The sequence below is a fragment of the Homo sapiens genome, chromosome 17 (genome assembly GCF_000001405.40).
Source record: "Homo sapiens chromosome 17, GRCh38.p14 Primary Assembly".
Taxonomy (NCBI): domain Eukaryota; kingdom Metazoa; phylum Chordata; class Mammalia; order Primates; family Hominidae; genus Homo; species Homo sapiens.
This window is the reverse complement of record NC_000017.11, coordinates 34,285,404-34,303,094: the sequence shown is the minus strand read 5'-3', so window position 1 is coordinate 34,303,094 and position 17,691 is coordinate 34,285,404. Positions and strand designations below refer to the sequence as shown.

Below are 17,691 nucleotides of genomic sequence, written 5' to 3'. Positions count from 1 at the left end.
GGCTGCTTTACTTAATTTTTTAAACTAAATCATGATGTTATTTTATAGGATGTAAAGAATTAGGGAGAAGAGAGAGAATTCCTTGGCAGAATTATTGTCAAAGAATTATGAGATGAGATCCAAAATCTGCAGAGTGGGCATTGGGTCCTGGGGAGGTTTCCAAGAAGTGGAAAAGGGAAGCAGTGGGCTGGGACTGGGCACATTTTCCATCCATTGCTGAGACTAATGGGGATGGGATAGGAAAGGGAGGTGCAGTTATGCCCAGCCTAAAAAGAGGAAATGCTCCAAGTTGGATCATCTCATGGGCTGCACTTCCTTTGCACTTAAATGTTTTCTGTAGAAAAGAGAGGAAGAAAGTAAATTGTGGTCATCAGAGAGGTGAGTAGATACAAAATTTGCACTATCCTCAACTCTGTCAGCATCCTCATCATGGACTTAAACCGTGGCTGGGATTCCAACCAGAGATTAGGAAAACCTGTATATTTTTAAACCTTGCTAGCAGGGTTCTAAGTAATACCACTCTTCACAACCCAGGGTGGTATTAATTAGAACTTTGGCTGAATGAGGGACTCCAGGAATCCTACAGATATAAAGCTATCTTATAGCTTTATCTTGGTATCAGAGGATATGTGATGCTGGGTAGCACATGAAGATCTTGGAGTGCTGTGGTTTTCAAACCTTGCTTTAGCTGTCAAAGTCTTTCCCCAAGTAAAATCAAAGGGGAATTCCAATATATCACCAGGGCCAGTGGAGTGGTCTGTGTGATGCAGGAGCTGGAGGCCCCTGTCCCTCACACCCAGCTCCAGGGAACAACAAAGTGTGGGATGGACTGATCCATTAAAGCTCTCTCTCCCAAAAATGCATATCAAGGCAAGGTATCTGATGCAATGTTAGTAGACAAACTGACATAGCTTCTACTTGCTCCAGTGGACGGTTGGTGCAGGGTTGAGAAATTCAGTAGCATAGCTGCATCAAATGCCAGCTTGGAAGCGTGTCATGGATATTTGTCTAGTTACCCCTGCACTGCACACTCATCCCTGCCTCCATCTTGCTCATGAAGATACTCACCATTAACTCCTTGAATTCTTGTCTTTTTTTTCCTCCACTATTCCAAATTCTAGAAATTATTGCTAACTTGACTTCCCTCCTCCCTCCTCCATGTAGCCCTACTAGACTGCTCAGATTTCATTAGACAACACCCTTTCTACTGCCTGAGTTGTACATTTCATTTATTTGACAGTAAACCTGCCAGGCCAGGCCTATATTTTCTTTTCTAATCAAAAGAGGAGGTTTTCCTCAGGCCCTCTACAGACCAGCAGTCTTCATTGAAAACCTGCGAATGACATATGGGCATAGAAGAAGGCACAGGAGCCTTGCCCAGAGGGGACCAGCATTCTCTTTTGGATGTTGGATCAAGGTTAAGTCAACAGCTTATAACCTTCAACTGAACTTCCTCTAGGTAAAGCCTTAGGTTGTACTTGTCCCTAGGCCAGGCAAAATGCCCACTTGTATCTATTAGACTGATTCCCTATGCTTATCAATCACTGGATGTGGGAAAGGATGAAAAATAAGAAGCTGTATCTCAGTTTATACTTCTGGAAACAGTGGGATTATAGTGTTATAACGGTTAAATTAATAGACACATGAAAAGTGCTTTAAACAGTGACAAGCACATAGTTAAGTTCTCAGTAAGCTTAACAGTTGTTACTTTTAGGAACTTCAGAAGAAGTATGGCTAGGAAATGCTAGGAAGGGACTCAAAGTGTAAGACAATAACATTCTCATGATTTCTCCCAAACAGAAGCTCATGTTTCCAAATTGAAACATGTTGCAGCGGGCTGTGTTTTCCAAGGAATGCCTTGTGTTGTGGAAAAGAAATGATGAAGAATGCCAGAGAAAGGGAAGAGGTCCCAGATATCTTGCCAAGGATCAAGCGTCGGGAGTACTCCAGGCTTCAGAGGCATGTGGCTAATGTGGTCCAGGAACAGCAGCTTCTGAGTGATATCAGTGTCATAAATAGGCAGGACTTCAGTGACAACAGGCAGTTTGTTTGCTATTTTCATTTTGCAGATTACCTTCCCAGACTTCAACTTGATGCTACCTGCAGAAGTTGAATGTGAGAATGTTAAGCCAGCATTTCAGACCATCTGGATTCAGCTGTTCTGCCCAGCTCAGCTGTCTTCTGCAGAGAGTGGGTGGCTGTCCAGCTTCTTTCTGTTTCTCATTTTTGGTGACTCCTTGACAGTAGCCATCTAAAGTGATTCAATTCACATTTTCTGCTGCTGGGGAATGAGAAACCTGTGGTCAGAAATAACTCCTGATGGGGGCTGGAAATGAGTCACTTATGGTGAAAACAGATCTCCTGGCTTCCTGGAATGCAGAACCATTTGATGGAAGTAAACCTGAAAACATGGACTCCCAGCTTTGTTCTTTGTCTCAGATTCCCTCTGAGATTACACAATTAGAGGAAGAATTAAATAGGACCTGAGAACTGTTGTTTTCCACCCTGTCCTTTCTCAGAAAAACTGAGACCTGAGAACAGAAACAAAATCCTTAAAGTCATTCAGGATTAATATCCCTGTTAATAGGCCCAGGTGTCTCAGTGCTCAGGTCCTGGATATATCCCACGAGTCTTTTACTACAGTGTACTCTCTCATCCTGGGCCTCATTTATCCCTTCCGCAAAACAGAACCAGCTGGTATTTGCTACTAGCCTTTCCCAGGGTTGCTTGGAAGTTCCTGGAAGAAACATTCCATAAGCTTATTTGCATAGCATGTAGTGATGCAGCTGACATGCAATAGACACTCAATAAATAATGATGGCTACTTGTATTGAATTGTTCTCCAGGCCAGGAACTACCAAATTTATGTGTGTTATCTAATTTAATCCTTCTGATTGACTCTGAAGTAAGTGCTTTTATGGTGCTTATCATGAAGAAGAGAACTGAGGCTTAGAGAAGCCAAGTATCTTACTCACAAGGCCCGTGAACACACTCTTTAACTATGCTGAGCATGCACCCACATGCCTTTGTTTACAGTGCTATTTGCCTATTATTTCACATAATCCTCCAGTGGCAGATGTCTTTATCCCTATTTACCAGGGAAATTAAGTGATTTGGGGGCACACCAGAGCTGGAGCAAATCCAGGAGGTACAACAGGATCCGCTAGCCCCATCCCTACTCTAATACATTGAACTAGAATCTTTGGGGAAGATAATTTAGAATCTGTAGTTTTAGACAAGTCCCTGGTGATTTTAATACACAGCCAATTAGAAGCCATATATCTAGTTTCAGAACCTGTTTTATGGTTGAGTAAACTAATGCCCAGTGAGAAAACAGAAGTTTCCCAAAGTTATCTTACAAGGTAGCTACACAGCAAAGCCAGGAGCCGTAGATCATGCATGAGGCCCAGGCCCTGCATCACATAGTAGTTGCTATGTTGCTTTACCTAGAGCCCCCCCTACCTGCCTGGACCAAGGTAGTCATTTTCTTGGCTTCTGCAGCATCAATGATCAATAAGTGTCTGCTGAGTGCCTCTCTGTGAGTTGCTCTGGGCTGCAGAGAGCTGCCTTCCTCAAGGTCACGTCCCATTTCTGGGTGTAGTCCACGTGCAATAATTGGTTGATGTAGGTATAGAAACTCCAGTTCCATGTCTCCTAAATTGGGCCTGTTCAATTCTGAAGGGTCATTTCAGCTCCAGAATACCCCATACAATGAGTCTAGGGGCATACAGGGACACTTCCTCAAAAGTAAAAGACTAATAATTGCATCTCATGCCTCCACCCATTTAAAAAGAAGCACAGTGCCCAGTAGGTAGATTTTCTCTACTTAGGAGGCAGGGCTACTCTGACTCACATACACAGAAGGTTACCAGTAGTGACTGGGATGCTGAGTAGGAATGGGCTCTGCAATGGGTCCAGGCTGTGGCACAAGAGATCCTGTGGCTTGGATCATAAACCAGGCAGACCTTATGGTATTAGAGTTAACGTGGATGGGAAAAGAAACCCACTGGGCCCTGTGAAATCTACGCTTTAGTAGAAGAACCTGGGGTTTTGGAGAAAAGTCAGGCTGTCTGAAGAGGAGAACTTGTACCTTTTGAAAAAAAAGTTTCCGGTGTGCTACTGAACTCTTGCAGAGACAGAGAGCCTGGCCATGGGAAATCAAATGATTTTCGTAGCCAGAATTTTGCAGAATTTGCTCGCCATGATCTGGGTTCAGTCAAACCTACCAAATCATAATGCCAGGTGGGCCCAGAGGTAAGATTGAGGCAGTGCATTGGGATTGGGCACAGCAGTGCCAAAGGGCATTGCACAGTAAACCATATGAGCAGATGGCTCAGACCCCCATGTCATCCATACTGCATGCCACTCACTCACTTCACACCCATGGCTGCCTGGGAGTCACTTATGACAAGGTGATGGAGGAAGAAAAAGGCTGAGCATGGTTCAAAGATGGTTCAGCTCAGCATGTGGACACAAACAAAAAACGATGACAATTGCTCTACAGATCAACTCAGGGATGGCCTTGAAAGGGAGAAGTGAGGGGAAATCCTCTCAATGGATAGAGTTTGAGCAGTTTTCTCAAACTAGTCATTGACTTGTATATACAGAGAGGTGGCCTGAGGTTAAAATATATGTGGACTCGGAATAGGAACAGCTCCGGTCTACAGCTCCCAGTGTGAGCGACGCAGAAGACGGGTGATTTCTGCATTTCCATCTGAGGTACCGGGTTCATCTCACTAGGGAGTGCCAGACAGTGGGCGCAGGCCAGTGGGTGCGCGCACCGTGCGCGAGCCAAAGCAGGGCGAGGCATTGCCTCACCTGGGAAGCGCAAGGGGTCAGGGAGTTCCCTTTCCGAGTCAAAGAAAGGGGTGACGGACGCACCTGGAAAATTGGGTCACTACCACCCGAATATTGCGCTTTTCAGGCCGGCTTAAAAAACGGCGCACCACGAGACTATATGCCACACCTGGCTCGGAGGGTCCTACGCCCACGGAGTCTCGCTGATTGCTAGCACAGCAGTCTGAGATCAAACTGCAAGGCGGCAACGAGGCTGGGGGAGGGGCACCCGCCATTGCCCAGGCTTGCTTAGGTAAACAAAGCAGCCGGGAAGCTCCTGGGTGGAGCCCACCACAGTTCAAGGAGGCCTGCCTGCCACTGTAGGCTCCACCTCTGGGGGCAGGGCACAGACAAACAAAAAGACAGCAGTAACCTCTGCAGACTTAAATGTCCCTGTCTGACAGCTTTGAAGAGAGCAGTGGTTCTCCCAGCACGCAGCTGGAGATCTGAGAACCGGCAGACTGCCTCCTCAAGTGGGTCCCTGACCCCTGACCCCCAAGCAGCCTAACTGGGAGGCACCCCCCAGCAGGGGCACACTGACACCTCACAAGGCAGGGTATTCCAACAGACCTGCAGCTGAGGGTCCTGCCTGTTAGAAGGAAAACTAACAAACAGAAAGGACAACCACACCGAAAACCCATCTGTACATCATCATCATCAAAGACCAAAAGTAGATAAAACCACAAAGATGGGGAAAAAACAGAACAGAAAAACTGGAAACTCTAAAATGCAGAGCGCCTCTCCTCCTCCAAAGGAACGCAGTTCCTCACCAGCAACGGAACAAAGCTGGATGGAGAATGACTTTGACGAGCTGAGAGAAGAAGGCTTCAGATGATCAAATTACTCTGAGCTATGGGAGGACATTCAAACCAAAGGCAAAGAAGTTGAAAACTTTGAAAAAAATTTAGAAGAATGTATAACTAGAATAACCAATACAGAGAAGTGCTTAAAGGAGCTGATGGAGCTGAAAACCAAGGCTCGAGAACTACGTGAAGAATGCAGAAGCCTCAGGAGCTGATGCGATCAACTGGAAGAAAGGGTATCAGCAATGGAAGATGAAATGAATGAAATGAAGCGAGAAGGGAAGTTTAGAGAAAAAAAGAATAAAAAGAAATGAGCAAAGCCTCCAAGAAATATGGGACTGTGTGAAAAGACCAAATCTACGTCTGATTGGTGTACCTGAAAGTGATGGGGAGAATGGAACCAAGTTGGAAAACACTCTGCAGTATATTATCCAGGAGAACTTCCCCAATCTAGCAAGGCAGGCCAAAGTTCAGATTCAGGAAATACAGAGAACGCCACAAAGATACTCCTCGAGCAGGGCAACTCCAAGACACATAATTGTCAGATTCACCAAAGTTGAAATGAAGGAAAAAATGTTAAGGGCAGCCAGAGAGAAAGGTTGGGTTACCCTCAAAGGGAAGCCCATCAGACTAACAGCAGATCTCTCGGCAGAAACCCTACAAGCCAGAAGAGAGTGGGGGCCAATATTCAACATTCTTAAAGAAAAGAATTTTCAACCCAGAATTTCATATCCAGCCAAACTAAGCTTCATAAGTGAAGGAGAAATTAAATACTTTACAGACAAGCAAACGCTGAGAGATTTTGTCACCACCAGGCCTGCCCTAAAAGAGCTCCTGAAGGAAGCGCTAAACATGGAAAGGAACAACCGGTACCAGCTGCTGCAAAATCATGCCAAAATGTAAAGACCATCGAGACTAGGAAGAAACTGCATCAACTAACGAGCAAAATCACCAGCTAACATCATAATGACAGGATCAAATGCACACATAACAATATTAACTTTAAATGTAAATGGACTAAATTCTCCAATTAAAAGACACAGACTGGCAAATTGGATAAAGAGTCAAGACCCATCAGTGTGCTGTATTCAGGAAACCCATCTCACGTGCAGAGACACACATAGGCTCAAAATAAAAGGATGGAGGAAGATCTACCAAGCAAATGGAAAACAAAAAAAGGCAGGGGTTGCAATCCTAGTCTCTGATAAAACAGACTTTAAACCAACAAAGATCAAAAGAGACAAAGAAGGCCATTACATAATGGTAAAGGGATCAATTCAACAAGAAGAGCTAACTATCCTAAATATATATGCACCCAATACAGGAGCACCCAGATTCATAAAGCAAGTCCTGAGTGACCTACAAAGAGACTTAGACTCCCACACATTAATAATGGGAGACTTTAACACCCCACTGTCAACATTAGACAGATCAACGAGACAGAAAGTCAACAAGGATACCCAGGAATTGAACTCAGCTCTGCACCAAGCGGACCTAATAGACATCTACAGAACTCTCCACCCCAAATCAACAGAATATACATTTTTTTCAGCACCACACCACACCTATTCCAAAATTGGTCACATAGTTGGAAGTAAAACTCTCCTCAGCAAATGTAAAAGAACAGAAATTATAATAAACTATCTCTCAGACCACAGTGCAATCAAACTAGAACTCAGGATTAAGAATCTCACTCAAAGCCGCTCAACTACATGGAAACTGAACAACCTCCTCCTGAATGACTACTGGGTACATAACGAAATGAAGGCAGAAATAAAGATGTTCTTTGAAACCAATGAGAACAAACATACCAGAATCTCTGGGATGCATTCAAAGCAGTGTGTAGAGGGAAATTTATAGCACTAAATGCCCACAAGAGAAAGCAGGAAAGATCCAAAATTGACACCCTAACATCACAATTAAAAGAACTAGAAAAGCAAGAGCAAACACAGTCAAAAGCTAGCAGAAGGCAAGAAATAACTAAAATTAGAGCAGAACTGAAGGAAATAGAGACACAAAAAACCATTCAAAAAATCAATGAATCCAGGAGCTGGTTTTTTGAAAGGATCAACAAAATTGATAGACCGCTAGCAAGACTAATAAAGAAAAAAAGAGAGAAGAATCAAATAGACGCAATAAAAAATGATAAAGGGGATATCACCACCAATCCCACAGAAATACAAACTACCATCGGAGAATACTACAAACACCTCTACGCAAATAAACTAGAAAATCTAGAAGAAATGGATAAATTCCTCGACACATACACTCTCCCAAGACTAAACCAGGAAGAAGTTGAATCTCTGAATAGACCAATAACAGGAGCTGAAATTGTGGCAATAATCAATAGTTTACCAACCAAAAAGAGTCCAGGACCAGATGGATTCACAGCCGAATTCTACCAGAGGTACAAGGAGGAACTGGTACCATTCCTTCTGAAACTATTCCAATCAATAGAAAAAGAGGGAATCCTCCCTAACTCATTTGATGAGGCCAGCATCATTCTGATACCAAAGCCGGGCAGAGACACAACCAAAAAAGAGAATTTTAGACCAATATCCTTGATGAACATTGATGCAAAAATCCTCAATAAAATACTGGCAAACCGAATCCAGCAGCACATCAAAAAGCTTATCCACCATGATCAAGTGGGCTTCATCCCTGGGATGCAAGGCTGGTTCAATATACACAAATCAATAAATGTAATCCAGCATATAAACAGAGCCAAAGACAAAAACCACATGATTATCTCAATAGATGCAGAAAAAGCCTTTGACAAAATTCAACAACCCTTCATGCTAAAAACTCTCAATAAATTAGGTATTGATGGGACGTATCTCAAAATAATAAGAGCTATCTATGACAAACCCATAGCCAATATCATACTGAATGGGCAAAAACTGGAAGCATTCCCTTTGAAAACTGGCACAAGACAGGGATGCCCTCTCTCACCACTCCTATTCAACATAGTGTTGGAAGTTCTGGCCAGGGCAATCAGGCAGGAGAAGGAAATAAAGGGTATTCAATTAGGAAAAGAGGAAGTCAAATTGTCCCTGTTTGCAGACGACATGATTATATATCTAGAAAACCCCATTGTCTCTGCCCAAAATCTCCTTAAGCTGATAAGCAACTTCAGCAAAGTCTCAGAATACAAAATCAATGTGCAAAAATCACAAGCATTCTTATACACCAACAACAGACAAACAGAGAGCCAAATCATGAGTGAACTCCCATTCACAATTGCTTCAAAGAGAATAAAATACCTAGGAATCCAACTTACAAGGGACATGAAGGACCTCTTCAAGGAGAACTACAAACCACTGCTCAAAGAAATAAAAGAGGATACAAACAAATGGAAGAACATTCCATGCTCATGGGTAGGAAGAATCAATATCGTGAAAATGGCCATACTGCCCAAGGTAATTTACAGATTCAATGCCATCCCCATCAAGCTACCAATGACTTTCTTCACAGAATTGGAAAAAACTACTTTAAAGTTCATATGGAACCAAAAAAGAGCCCGCATCGCCAAGTCAATCCTAAGCCAAAAGAACAAAGCTGGAGGCATCACACTACCTGACTTCAAACTATACTACAAGGCTACAGTAACCAAAACAGCATGGTACTGGTACCAAAACAGAGATATAGATCAATGGAACAGAACAGAGCCCTCAGAAATAACGCCGCATACCTACAACTATCTGATCTTTGACAAACCTGAGAAAAACAAGCAATGGGGAAAGGATTCCCTATTTAATAAATGGTGCTGGGAAAACTGGCTAGCCATATGTAGAAAGCTGAAACTGGATCCCTTCCTTACACCTTATACAAAAATCAATTCAAGATGGATTAAAGATTTAAACGTTAGACGTAAAACCATAAAAACCCTAGAAGAAAACCTAGGCATTACCATTCAGGACATAGGCATGGGCAAGGACTTCATGTCCAAAACACCAAAAGCAATGGCAACAAAAGACAAAATTGACAAATGGGATCTAATTAAAATAAAGAGCTTCTGCACAGCAAAAGAAACTACCGTCAGAGTGAACAGGCAACCTACAAAATGGGAGAAAATTTTCGCAACCTACTCATCTGACAAAGGGCTAATATCCAGAATCTACAATGAACTCCAACAAATTTACAAGAAAAAAACAAACAACCCCATCAAAAAGTGGGTGAAGGACATGAACAGACACTTCTCAAAAGAAGACATTTATGCAGCCAAAAAACACATGAAAAAATGCTCATCATCACTGGCCATCAGAGAAATGCAAATCAAAACCACTATGAGATACCATCTCACACCAGTTAGAATGGCAATCATTAAAAAGTCAGGAAACAACAGGTGCTGGAGAGGATGTGGAGAAACAGGAACACTTTTACACTGTTGATGGGACTGTAAACTAGTTCAACCATCGTGGAAGTCAGTGTGGTGATTCCTCAGGGATCTAGAACTAGAAATACCATTTGACCCAGCCATCCCATTACTGGGTATATACCCAAATGACTATAAATCATGCTGCTATAAAGACACATGCACACGTATGTTTATTGCGGCATTATTCACAATAGCAAAGACTTGGAACCAACCCAAATGTCCAACAATGATAGACTGGATTAAGAAAATGTGGCACATATACACCATGGAATACTATGCAGCCATAAAAAATGATGAGTTCACGTCCTTTGTAGGGACATGGATGAAATTGGAAATCATCATTCTCAGCAAACTGTCGCAAGAACAAAAAACCAAACACCACATATTCTCACTCATAGGTGGGAATTGAACAATGAGATCACATGGACACAGGAAGGGGAATATCACACTCTGGGGACTGTGGTGGGGTTGGGGGAGGGGGGAGGGATAGCATTGGGAGATATACCTAATGCTAGATGACGAGTTAGTGGGTGCAGCGCACCAGCACGGCACATGTATACATATGTAACTAACCTGCACAATGTGCACATGTACGCTAAAACTTAAAGTATAATAAAAAAATAAAAAAAAATATATATATATATATGGACTCGTAGATAGATAGTGTTGAATGGTCTGCATCATTGGGCAGGGGCCTGGAAAGACAAAGGTAAAAATTTTGGGGGAAAGGGGTTCTGGCAGAGAGGCAAGTGGACGAACCTATGAGACAGGACACAGTATGTAAAGATGTGGTACTAATCCCATCAGGAATTTGGACATACAGAATGACTAAGGTAACAAGATGACTCAGCCAGTTGGCATCAGCCAGCTTCTGTTATTTGTCACCACAGTAATGGGACAGTAAGAATATGAACAAAGTCATTATGGTAGCAGGAGTTCAGATGACACGTGGCCCTGTAGCTGAATGTCCAACCTGCCAGTAACATAGCCCATTGTTGATCCCCGGCTATGGCATCATCCATCCATCAGGGAGACTAACCAGCCGTTTGGTGGAAAGTACATGTTTGATTACATTGCACCTATTCTACTCTGAAAAGAGCAATGACTCATCTTAACTGGAGTAGAAACACTTTCCAGGTATGAGTTTGCCATTTCTGTCTCCAGTACCTTAGACAGCACCATTATCTGAGAGCTTACAAGTGTTTGTTCACTGGCGCAACATGCCACATAACATCACTATAGACTGGAAGACACACTACAGCAAATGAGGTGCAGCACTGGGTGTATGGTCATCGGATCCACTGATCCCACTATATACCTGTGTTATCCACAGGTTTCCAGGCTGATACAGTAATGGAATGGCCTGCTGAAGGCACAGTTAAGGCACCAGCTTGGAAAGAGTATCCTACAAGGAAGAAATACTATCCTCTAGGATTCAATATAGACCTTAAATCAAATAATAAGTGAAGCTGTATTCCCAATAGGTAAAATTCATAGATTCATGTCAAAGGTGGAAGTAAAATTGCCCTACTTACCATTACTCCTAGTGATCCACTTTGGGGGATTTGTGCACATCAGGGCTGTACGGATTTAGAAATCCTGTTTCCCAGAGGAAGAATGCTTACCCCTTGGTTCCTAGAGGGAGTCTCATTAATCCTCAGCTGTGGCTGCACTCTATCTCTTTAGACTTGCAGGCCAAGAAACTAACAGGCAAGGAGAGGAAGAGGTCACTATCCGGGCCAGGGTAATGGGCCCTGGTCATCAGAAGTGAGTGGAGCTGCTTTTACTCAATGGGGTTAGATAAGAATATGTTTGGCATCTGGGTGACCCATTTGGATGTCTCTTGACCCAATTTTAATGGCAAATGGACAACAGTAGCAGCCATATCCTTGTCCTGAGAGGAGTGTGAAGACCAGGGGCTGAACCCCTCAGGGATGAGGGTCTGGGTGAATCCTGAAGGCAAGCCACTTAGGCCAGCAGAGGCATGGGCTGAGGTTGAGGAAAATCTAGAATGAGTGTTCTAGGAGTGGGGTGATAAGCATCATTTATAACCTCAAGACCAGTTGCAGCTGTTGTAGGTGGCTACTGTTCACTCCACCAACCTTCCTCTTGCAAGTTTCCTTAAAAAATGAGGCTCAACAGATTTCTGGATGAGTTTTCCAGAACTTTGTATATAAGCAAGTGGATTTGAATGGCACAAGGGGTGGGTCATGGTGGAGTTCATAGTGTGCTGCCCAAGTTTTTCCCTCCCAGGTCTAAAGTGCTTCTTCCCCAGCTGCTAGAAGTGTTGGCAGCCAATGCTTCTCAGCGGAATTTCCTCTATGAGGCCCGCCGTCAGCTAAAAACAGCTGCCTTGCCCAGAGTTGTGTCCTCTTCCAGGAGCATCCTGCAGCCAGGGCTGGTTCAGATGGGGGTATAAAAGCCTGGCCCCTCGACCTCATTTGTGCTATCCCAGTTCTAAAGCTCCCTATGGGATTGCTGAGACCTGGGCTGCAATTGCACCACAATATCAATTCTCCCTCTCCTTAGTTCAGCTTCCCCATACTCTCAGTGAACCCTGCATGAACATCTTCATCTAATAGTATGCTTTCCAGAGAAATGAGTTGGTGACATCCCTGATTCCTGGTTGAGATCTGTGTGCCATCAGAAAACTTAAACACCTCCAATGCTTTGTGCCCACAGTTTTATACTCAAGGCCCTGGTGATGCTATTCCCAATTGTAGGGTAATTAGGTTCAGGATTCCTTGAGAGAGGAATAGGGGATATGAGCAAATTCTGTTCAGTCCTTCACAAACAGAGGGCACCTCTTCCCTCTACTCCCCTTCTTGATCTCCTCGTGAAGACTGACCTGAAACCTGAGGGTCTACTGATCCCAGTGAGCTATTCTGTGGCCATCCCATGCCTCCTGGACATGCTGACCTCTGGAGGTACATCCTGATTGATGTTTAGGGCTAAAGTCTGCTAGGCTATAGGAGAGGCAGAGAGGTTTTTTGTACTCAGAGTGAGGGCCAGTGATTGCTCTGAGTGGGAGCCCTTCTGTAGTAGATACAAAAAGCTCTCTGATGGTTCTAGGGATCCATGCTTCTACTTGCGGCTCTCACAGAGAAATCTTCTAGAAATAGAGTAAGTGTGCCAGTTATCCTGGCCCCTGTCCGACTTGGGCTTGTGAGTGTGGAACCCTCTGACAACATTCCCTCCCTCAATGGGTGGAGGTAGTGATGCTTTCCAAGAGGTAGTGCTCTCAGAACAGGAGATCTTGGTGGGTCATTGGTCAGATCCCTTAAAAGATATTAATATACCCCTATTATGGATGGGGTAACTAAAGCCAAAAGTAACACAGTGACAGAGACCAGTTCTCTGTCTGTGATGAAACTGAGGTCATCTGCCTCCTAGATCAGTGCCCTTCCTAATGTCTCATTCTGTTCTTTATATTGCCTTGTGCCATTGCCACCACACAGTCCAAGGGGGACAGCCTTATGAATGGTGCCTCTGGGAGCTTTGCATGCAGCGACCCTGCTGGGCATGCATGACACAGTAGGCCATTGGCCCTCCAGATCAATGGCCTTAGACCATGCAGAGTTATACCAGCAGGGCACCTGTGACCCTTTTCTACCCTTGGGGACATAGTTGGTCTCTGCGTTCAGGTACATAGGTAATGTGACCAATGGAAACGCAAGCTGATTTTGTATGCTGAAAGGGAATCCTGATTTAAGTTGCTTATACAGGAAGATGAGGTCCTGTCCATTTGATTGAAAGCTCTCAAGCTAGTAAAGTTAAGGTGTGAGTAAACAGTGACAGAGAGAAATTAATTTTCTGGGTCTAAGAAGCTAACCTTTAATTGCAGCTTTGGCATTTAGAAAGTTTCCATGTCATTGGTTCTACTTCTTCAACCACAACATTTGGCATTCCACCCTGCCTCAGCCATTCTTCCAATTATCTTCTCCCCTCCCAACTACCAATGCCCCAGTTCCATATCTTCCATACACTGCAATAGTGAGCTAAGTGCTTCTCCCTTCTCCTCCCAATTCAGCCCATGGCCACCTGGCTGCCCTTCCTGAAGCCCCTCATAGTGTGGTCATGGCACTTCTCTCCACTGAATCAAAACTTGCAATGCATTCTATTCCTAGAGTGACCACATGCTCCAGTTTGCTTAGGACAGTGTTAATTTATATCCGTTGTTCCAGAATAATTATGAATAATACCACTTTTCTGCTCTCAAAAGCATCCTAACTGGGCTGGGAAGAACCATATGTTCACCTTACATGGAGCACAAACTCCCCACCTAGACAGCCTGGTCTCAAACTTCTTTCCAAATTTCCCCACCATTTCACACATACTCCAACACTGACATCTTTTGATGGGCTCCCACCCAACTGGGTAAATGCAGCATGATCATTCCTACTTCTTGGATTTTGCCCAAGCAACACCCCTTCTCCTCTACCTAGACTGAAATACCTCCAGCAGAGCCTCTCCACTTTGTGCATGCACAAGACCCACTTTAAGCTCCACCACACCTGTAAAACCTGCACCTAAACCTCTGGTCAAAGGTCACCTAGCCTTCCTCTGATTTCCAGTGTCTGTCATGTCTGCCTAGTCTGGGTTGGAAGACCGAGGAGCAGGGTCGGGTAGAGGGAGATACCACAGGGCTGTTAAAATAGGTCCCAGGAGAGGCAAGTATGAGGTGGGGAGGAAAGGAATGGTGGCAAAGCTCCAGATATTTTCGTGGCTGAAGTTTGGGGTCTGGGAAATACTGTTGAAAATGGGAATAGAGGGCTGGAATGGGTTTGTCAGTTTCACCCTGCATTTCAATGAAGACCAGCTAAGCCAAAAACTCATTTCCCAGGGACATAGTTCCCACCCCCTTAACCAAGCCCCTCTTGGCCACAGCCATCTTTGTCCCCCTCAGCTCAGTGTGGATTTCCCACAAAAAAATTACAACTAGTGACTATAATAAAATATGCACATACTTTATGTATTCCTAAAACAACATTTACTTCCATTTAATGAGTCACACTTTGGGTTCACAAGAACAATGACATTTTCATACTGATCATCTTTGCCAGGACCTTTACAAGATTCCAGGGAGGAAGAGAGGAGAGGGGGAACATTGCCCACACGTGACAGGGGATCGAATTGGGGCTCCCAGGGGGTAAAGAATCTGCACAAAGCTTTACAGTTTAAAAATAACTGATATTCATGGAGGATAAGTTTTAAAGCCTCAATAAATTAAATGCAATACGTTTTTTTTTTAAAAAAAAAAATATATATATATAATAAAACCCATGCCCTTTGGACTGATAATGAGGTTACCTCAGAATGCATTGTAAGAAGGGAAAACAAATTAGGCAACACTCAGGCTCTGGTTTGGTTTCAAAAATGGTGATTATTTATGGCTTTGGAGTTGGAGATTTTTGGTCCAGATACTTCATGGAATCCTGCACCCACTTCTTCTTGGGGTCGGCACAGATATCCTTGGCCAGTTTGGTCTTGAAGCTGTGGGAGATACAGGATGCAATTGGAAGGATTGTTTTTGAAAATTCTGCCCATTTGACCCTAAATATTTAAGGACCATCTGCCCCTGGACAAAGGGTTGCTACGGAGAGGAGGAAGGATGAGACTCTTGGGTTAGTTGCTGCTCTTAAAGGCCCAGTAAAACCATCTTTGCTCTTGACTTGAAGAAATTGATATGACTACAGCAATCTCCCAGGCAGGGAGCTGGGAGTGAACACTCACTTGTGAAAATTAATGAATTGGACCATAGAGGTCAAACTATCAGAGTCTATGACTCCCAGCAACTGTGACACAGTTCTTGACTCTGTGCCCTAGACATTATTTTTTTGTCTAGGGGAGGGTGAACTTTATTTACTTACATCACAGCTTTCTGGGGACATTTGCCACTGGTGATTCTCCTGTAGCTCTCTAGTCGCTGAAGGGGTATCTTCCTATTGGCCAGGTTAAAGCAGCAGGTGGTTGGGACAGAAGCTGAATTTTGGGGAAAAAAAATGAACAGAGAAAAAAATGAGCCACATGATGATACATAGACATTTCCAAGCATGACTTTGTAAAGGAAGTTAGGAGAAAGCAAGGAATTGCGAGAGGTGGAGGGAGAATCCCTCTGCTCTGAAGTCTTATGTGTCTGGAGGATGCTGTCCTGTGTCTTCAGCATCCTCCCCTGTGCACTGAGGACTCATCATTACTGTAGAGTGTATGGACAAAGCTTGGTCAATGTGACAAATGCTAGCTCTGTCATTATAAAGACCTACGTGGCCATGTGATGGTCATGGTAATTTTCACCAAATATTCTCCATCCTCTGTTTTGAGACACAAGGTAGACTTGCATTTCTTGGCCACTTTTGTTTGGTTGGAGGCATTAATTAGTTTTGATCAATAAAGAAGGAGACAAAGTGATGGGTGTCATTTTTGAGCCACAGTGCATTGCCTATGCAAGACTCCTGAGAGCTTTCTTCTGCTTTATCACAGTATCCATCAATGTTCCCCCACATGGGCAACTTCTCCATCAGTCTAGAATCCTGAGTATAAAATGCAGAAGCCTGAGCCCATACATTATAGATATTTAGTACAAGTGAGAAAGTAACTTTTGTTAATTTAGTTAATTCTGTTAAGTCATTGATAATTTAGAACTGTTTGTTACCATGCTATGCACTGGCTCAGTGGGACCGATACACTCAGTAAATTTGTCACCAGAGTATGGGAAAATGAGTTATGGAACAAATCTCCTAGATAACTTTCCCAAAGAGTGTCAAAATAAGTCACCTCAAGAGATCCCCCTGGGACCTCGTTCTTCTCTTAGCCACTGTCTCTGAAAGCTGTCCTGGAGTCGAATTAACATACTGAGCTTCTAATCAACAGATTTTCCTTCTCTCCCACTGCCAAAAATGCCCACCATGCCCACAGTAAGACAGAGCCATTCCCCATTCCCAAACACTGTAAGGATAGCTGGGTATGGATGCACCCAGCAACCCTCTTGAATGTGGGGAAAAGACTCGGGAGCTTTCTAGTTCTGGCTCTTCCAGTGACTGGATGTGAGGTTGAGGCATTTCTTGTCCACCCACAAAACCTGTTTCCCTATTTTTCAAATGGAGAATTTGCAGTGAGTCTGTAAAGATTCTTGCTGACCTAGTAGCTCTGGAGGTGGTTACCTTACCTTTCCTGTAAGGAGTTGGGGGGCTTACCTGGCCCAGCGAGCCCCTGGGGGCTGAAGGCAGCTGCTATGAGCAGCAGCCACAGAAGTGCTGCGGAGACCTTCATGTTGGAGGCTGAAGGTGTGAGCTTTGGCGTGAGAGGTGGTGGTTTCTGGGTTGGTCTCAGCCTCTCTGCTCCTCTGGCCCATCTGCCTGCCTTTTATAGGGAGCAGACAGTGTGGGAGATTCCAGGGAAGCCTTTGCCCATGCGGGGGTCACGATGAAGGGATTCCTGATTGCTGACCAGATTCCAGATCCTAGGAAGTCAAGCAGAACAGAAGAGAGGCAAGCTAGTAGGAGGGACTTGGTACATTTTTTAATCCATCTGGATCTTGCCTTGGAAAAGGAGGGGAATATGTGGTTATGAAATGAAGTTAAACATCTGTAGTGGGGGAAGAGAGCAAGAAAACCAAGGCCCTAGGGGATGAGTTGAAATGAAACACCTGTAGTTGGGGAAAGGAGCAAGGAAACC

General features: G+C 43.9%; 1 protein-coding gene across 1 annotated transcript, besides 1 other annotated feature; it reads right to left on the bottom strand.

Annotated features, from left to right (window-relative positions):
- Positions 4,874–5,463: an enhancer, noted in NCBI's record as "NANOG-H3K27ac-H3K4me1 hESC enhancer chr17:32624651-32625240 (GRCh37/hg19 assembly coordinates)". NCBI's record gives its function as "activates a minimal SCP1, AML or CMV promoter by ChIP-STARR-seq in primed H9 embryonic stem cells {active_cell/tissue: H9 hESC(primed)}" and the evidence as "EXISTENCE:reporter gene assay evidence [ECO:0000049][PMID:30033119]".
- Positions 14,761–17,353, bottom strand: CCL11 (C-C motif chemokine ligand 11). Its single transcript, NM_002986.3, has 3 exons — positions 17,211–17,353; positions 15,888–15,999; positions 14,761–15,510 (listed from the first exon to the last, which is right to left on the bottom strand). The coding sequence occupies exons 1-3, from the start codon at positions 17,284–17,286 to the stop codon at positions 15,405–15,407; spliced, it is 294 nt and encodes a 97-aa protein (NP_002977.1). The 5' UTR covers positions 17,287–17,353; the 3' UTR covers positions 14,761–15,404.

Coding starts and splice junctions, on each gene's coding strand:
- CCL11 (NM_002986.3), bottom strand. CDS start 17,286: ATGAAGGTCTCCGCAGCACTTCTGTGGCTGCTGCTCATAGCAGCTGCC. Junction 16,000..17,210: donor CCAGGGGCTCGCTGGGCCAG/GTAAGCCCCCCA, acceptor CCCAAAATTCAG/CTTCTGTCCCAACCACCTGC. Junction 15,511..15,887: donor TGTCCCCAGAAAGCTGTGAT/GTAAGTAAATAA, acceptor TATCTCCCACAG/CTTCAAGACCAAACTGGCCA.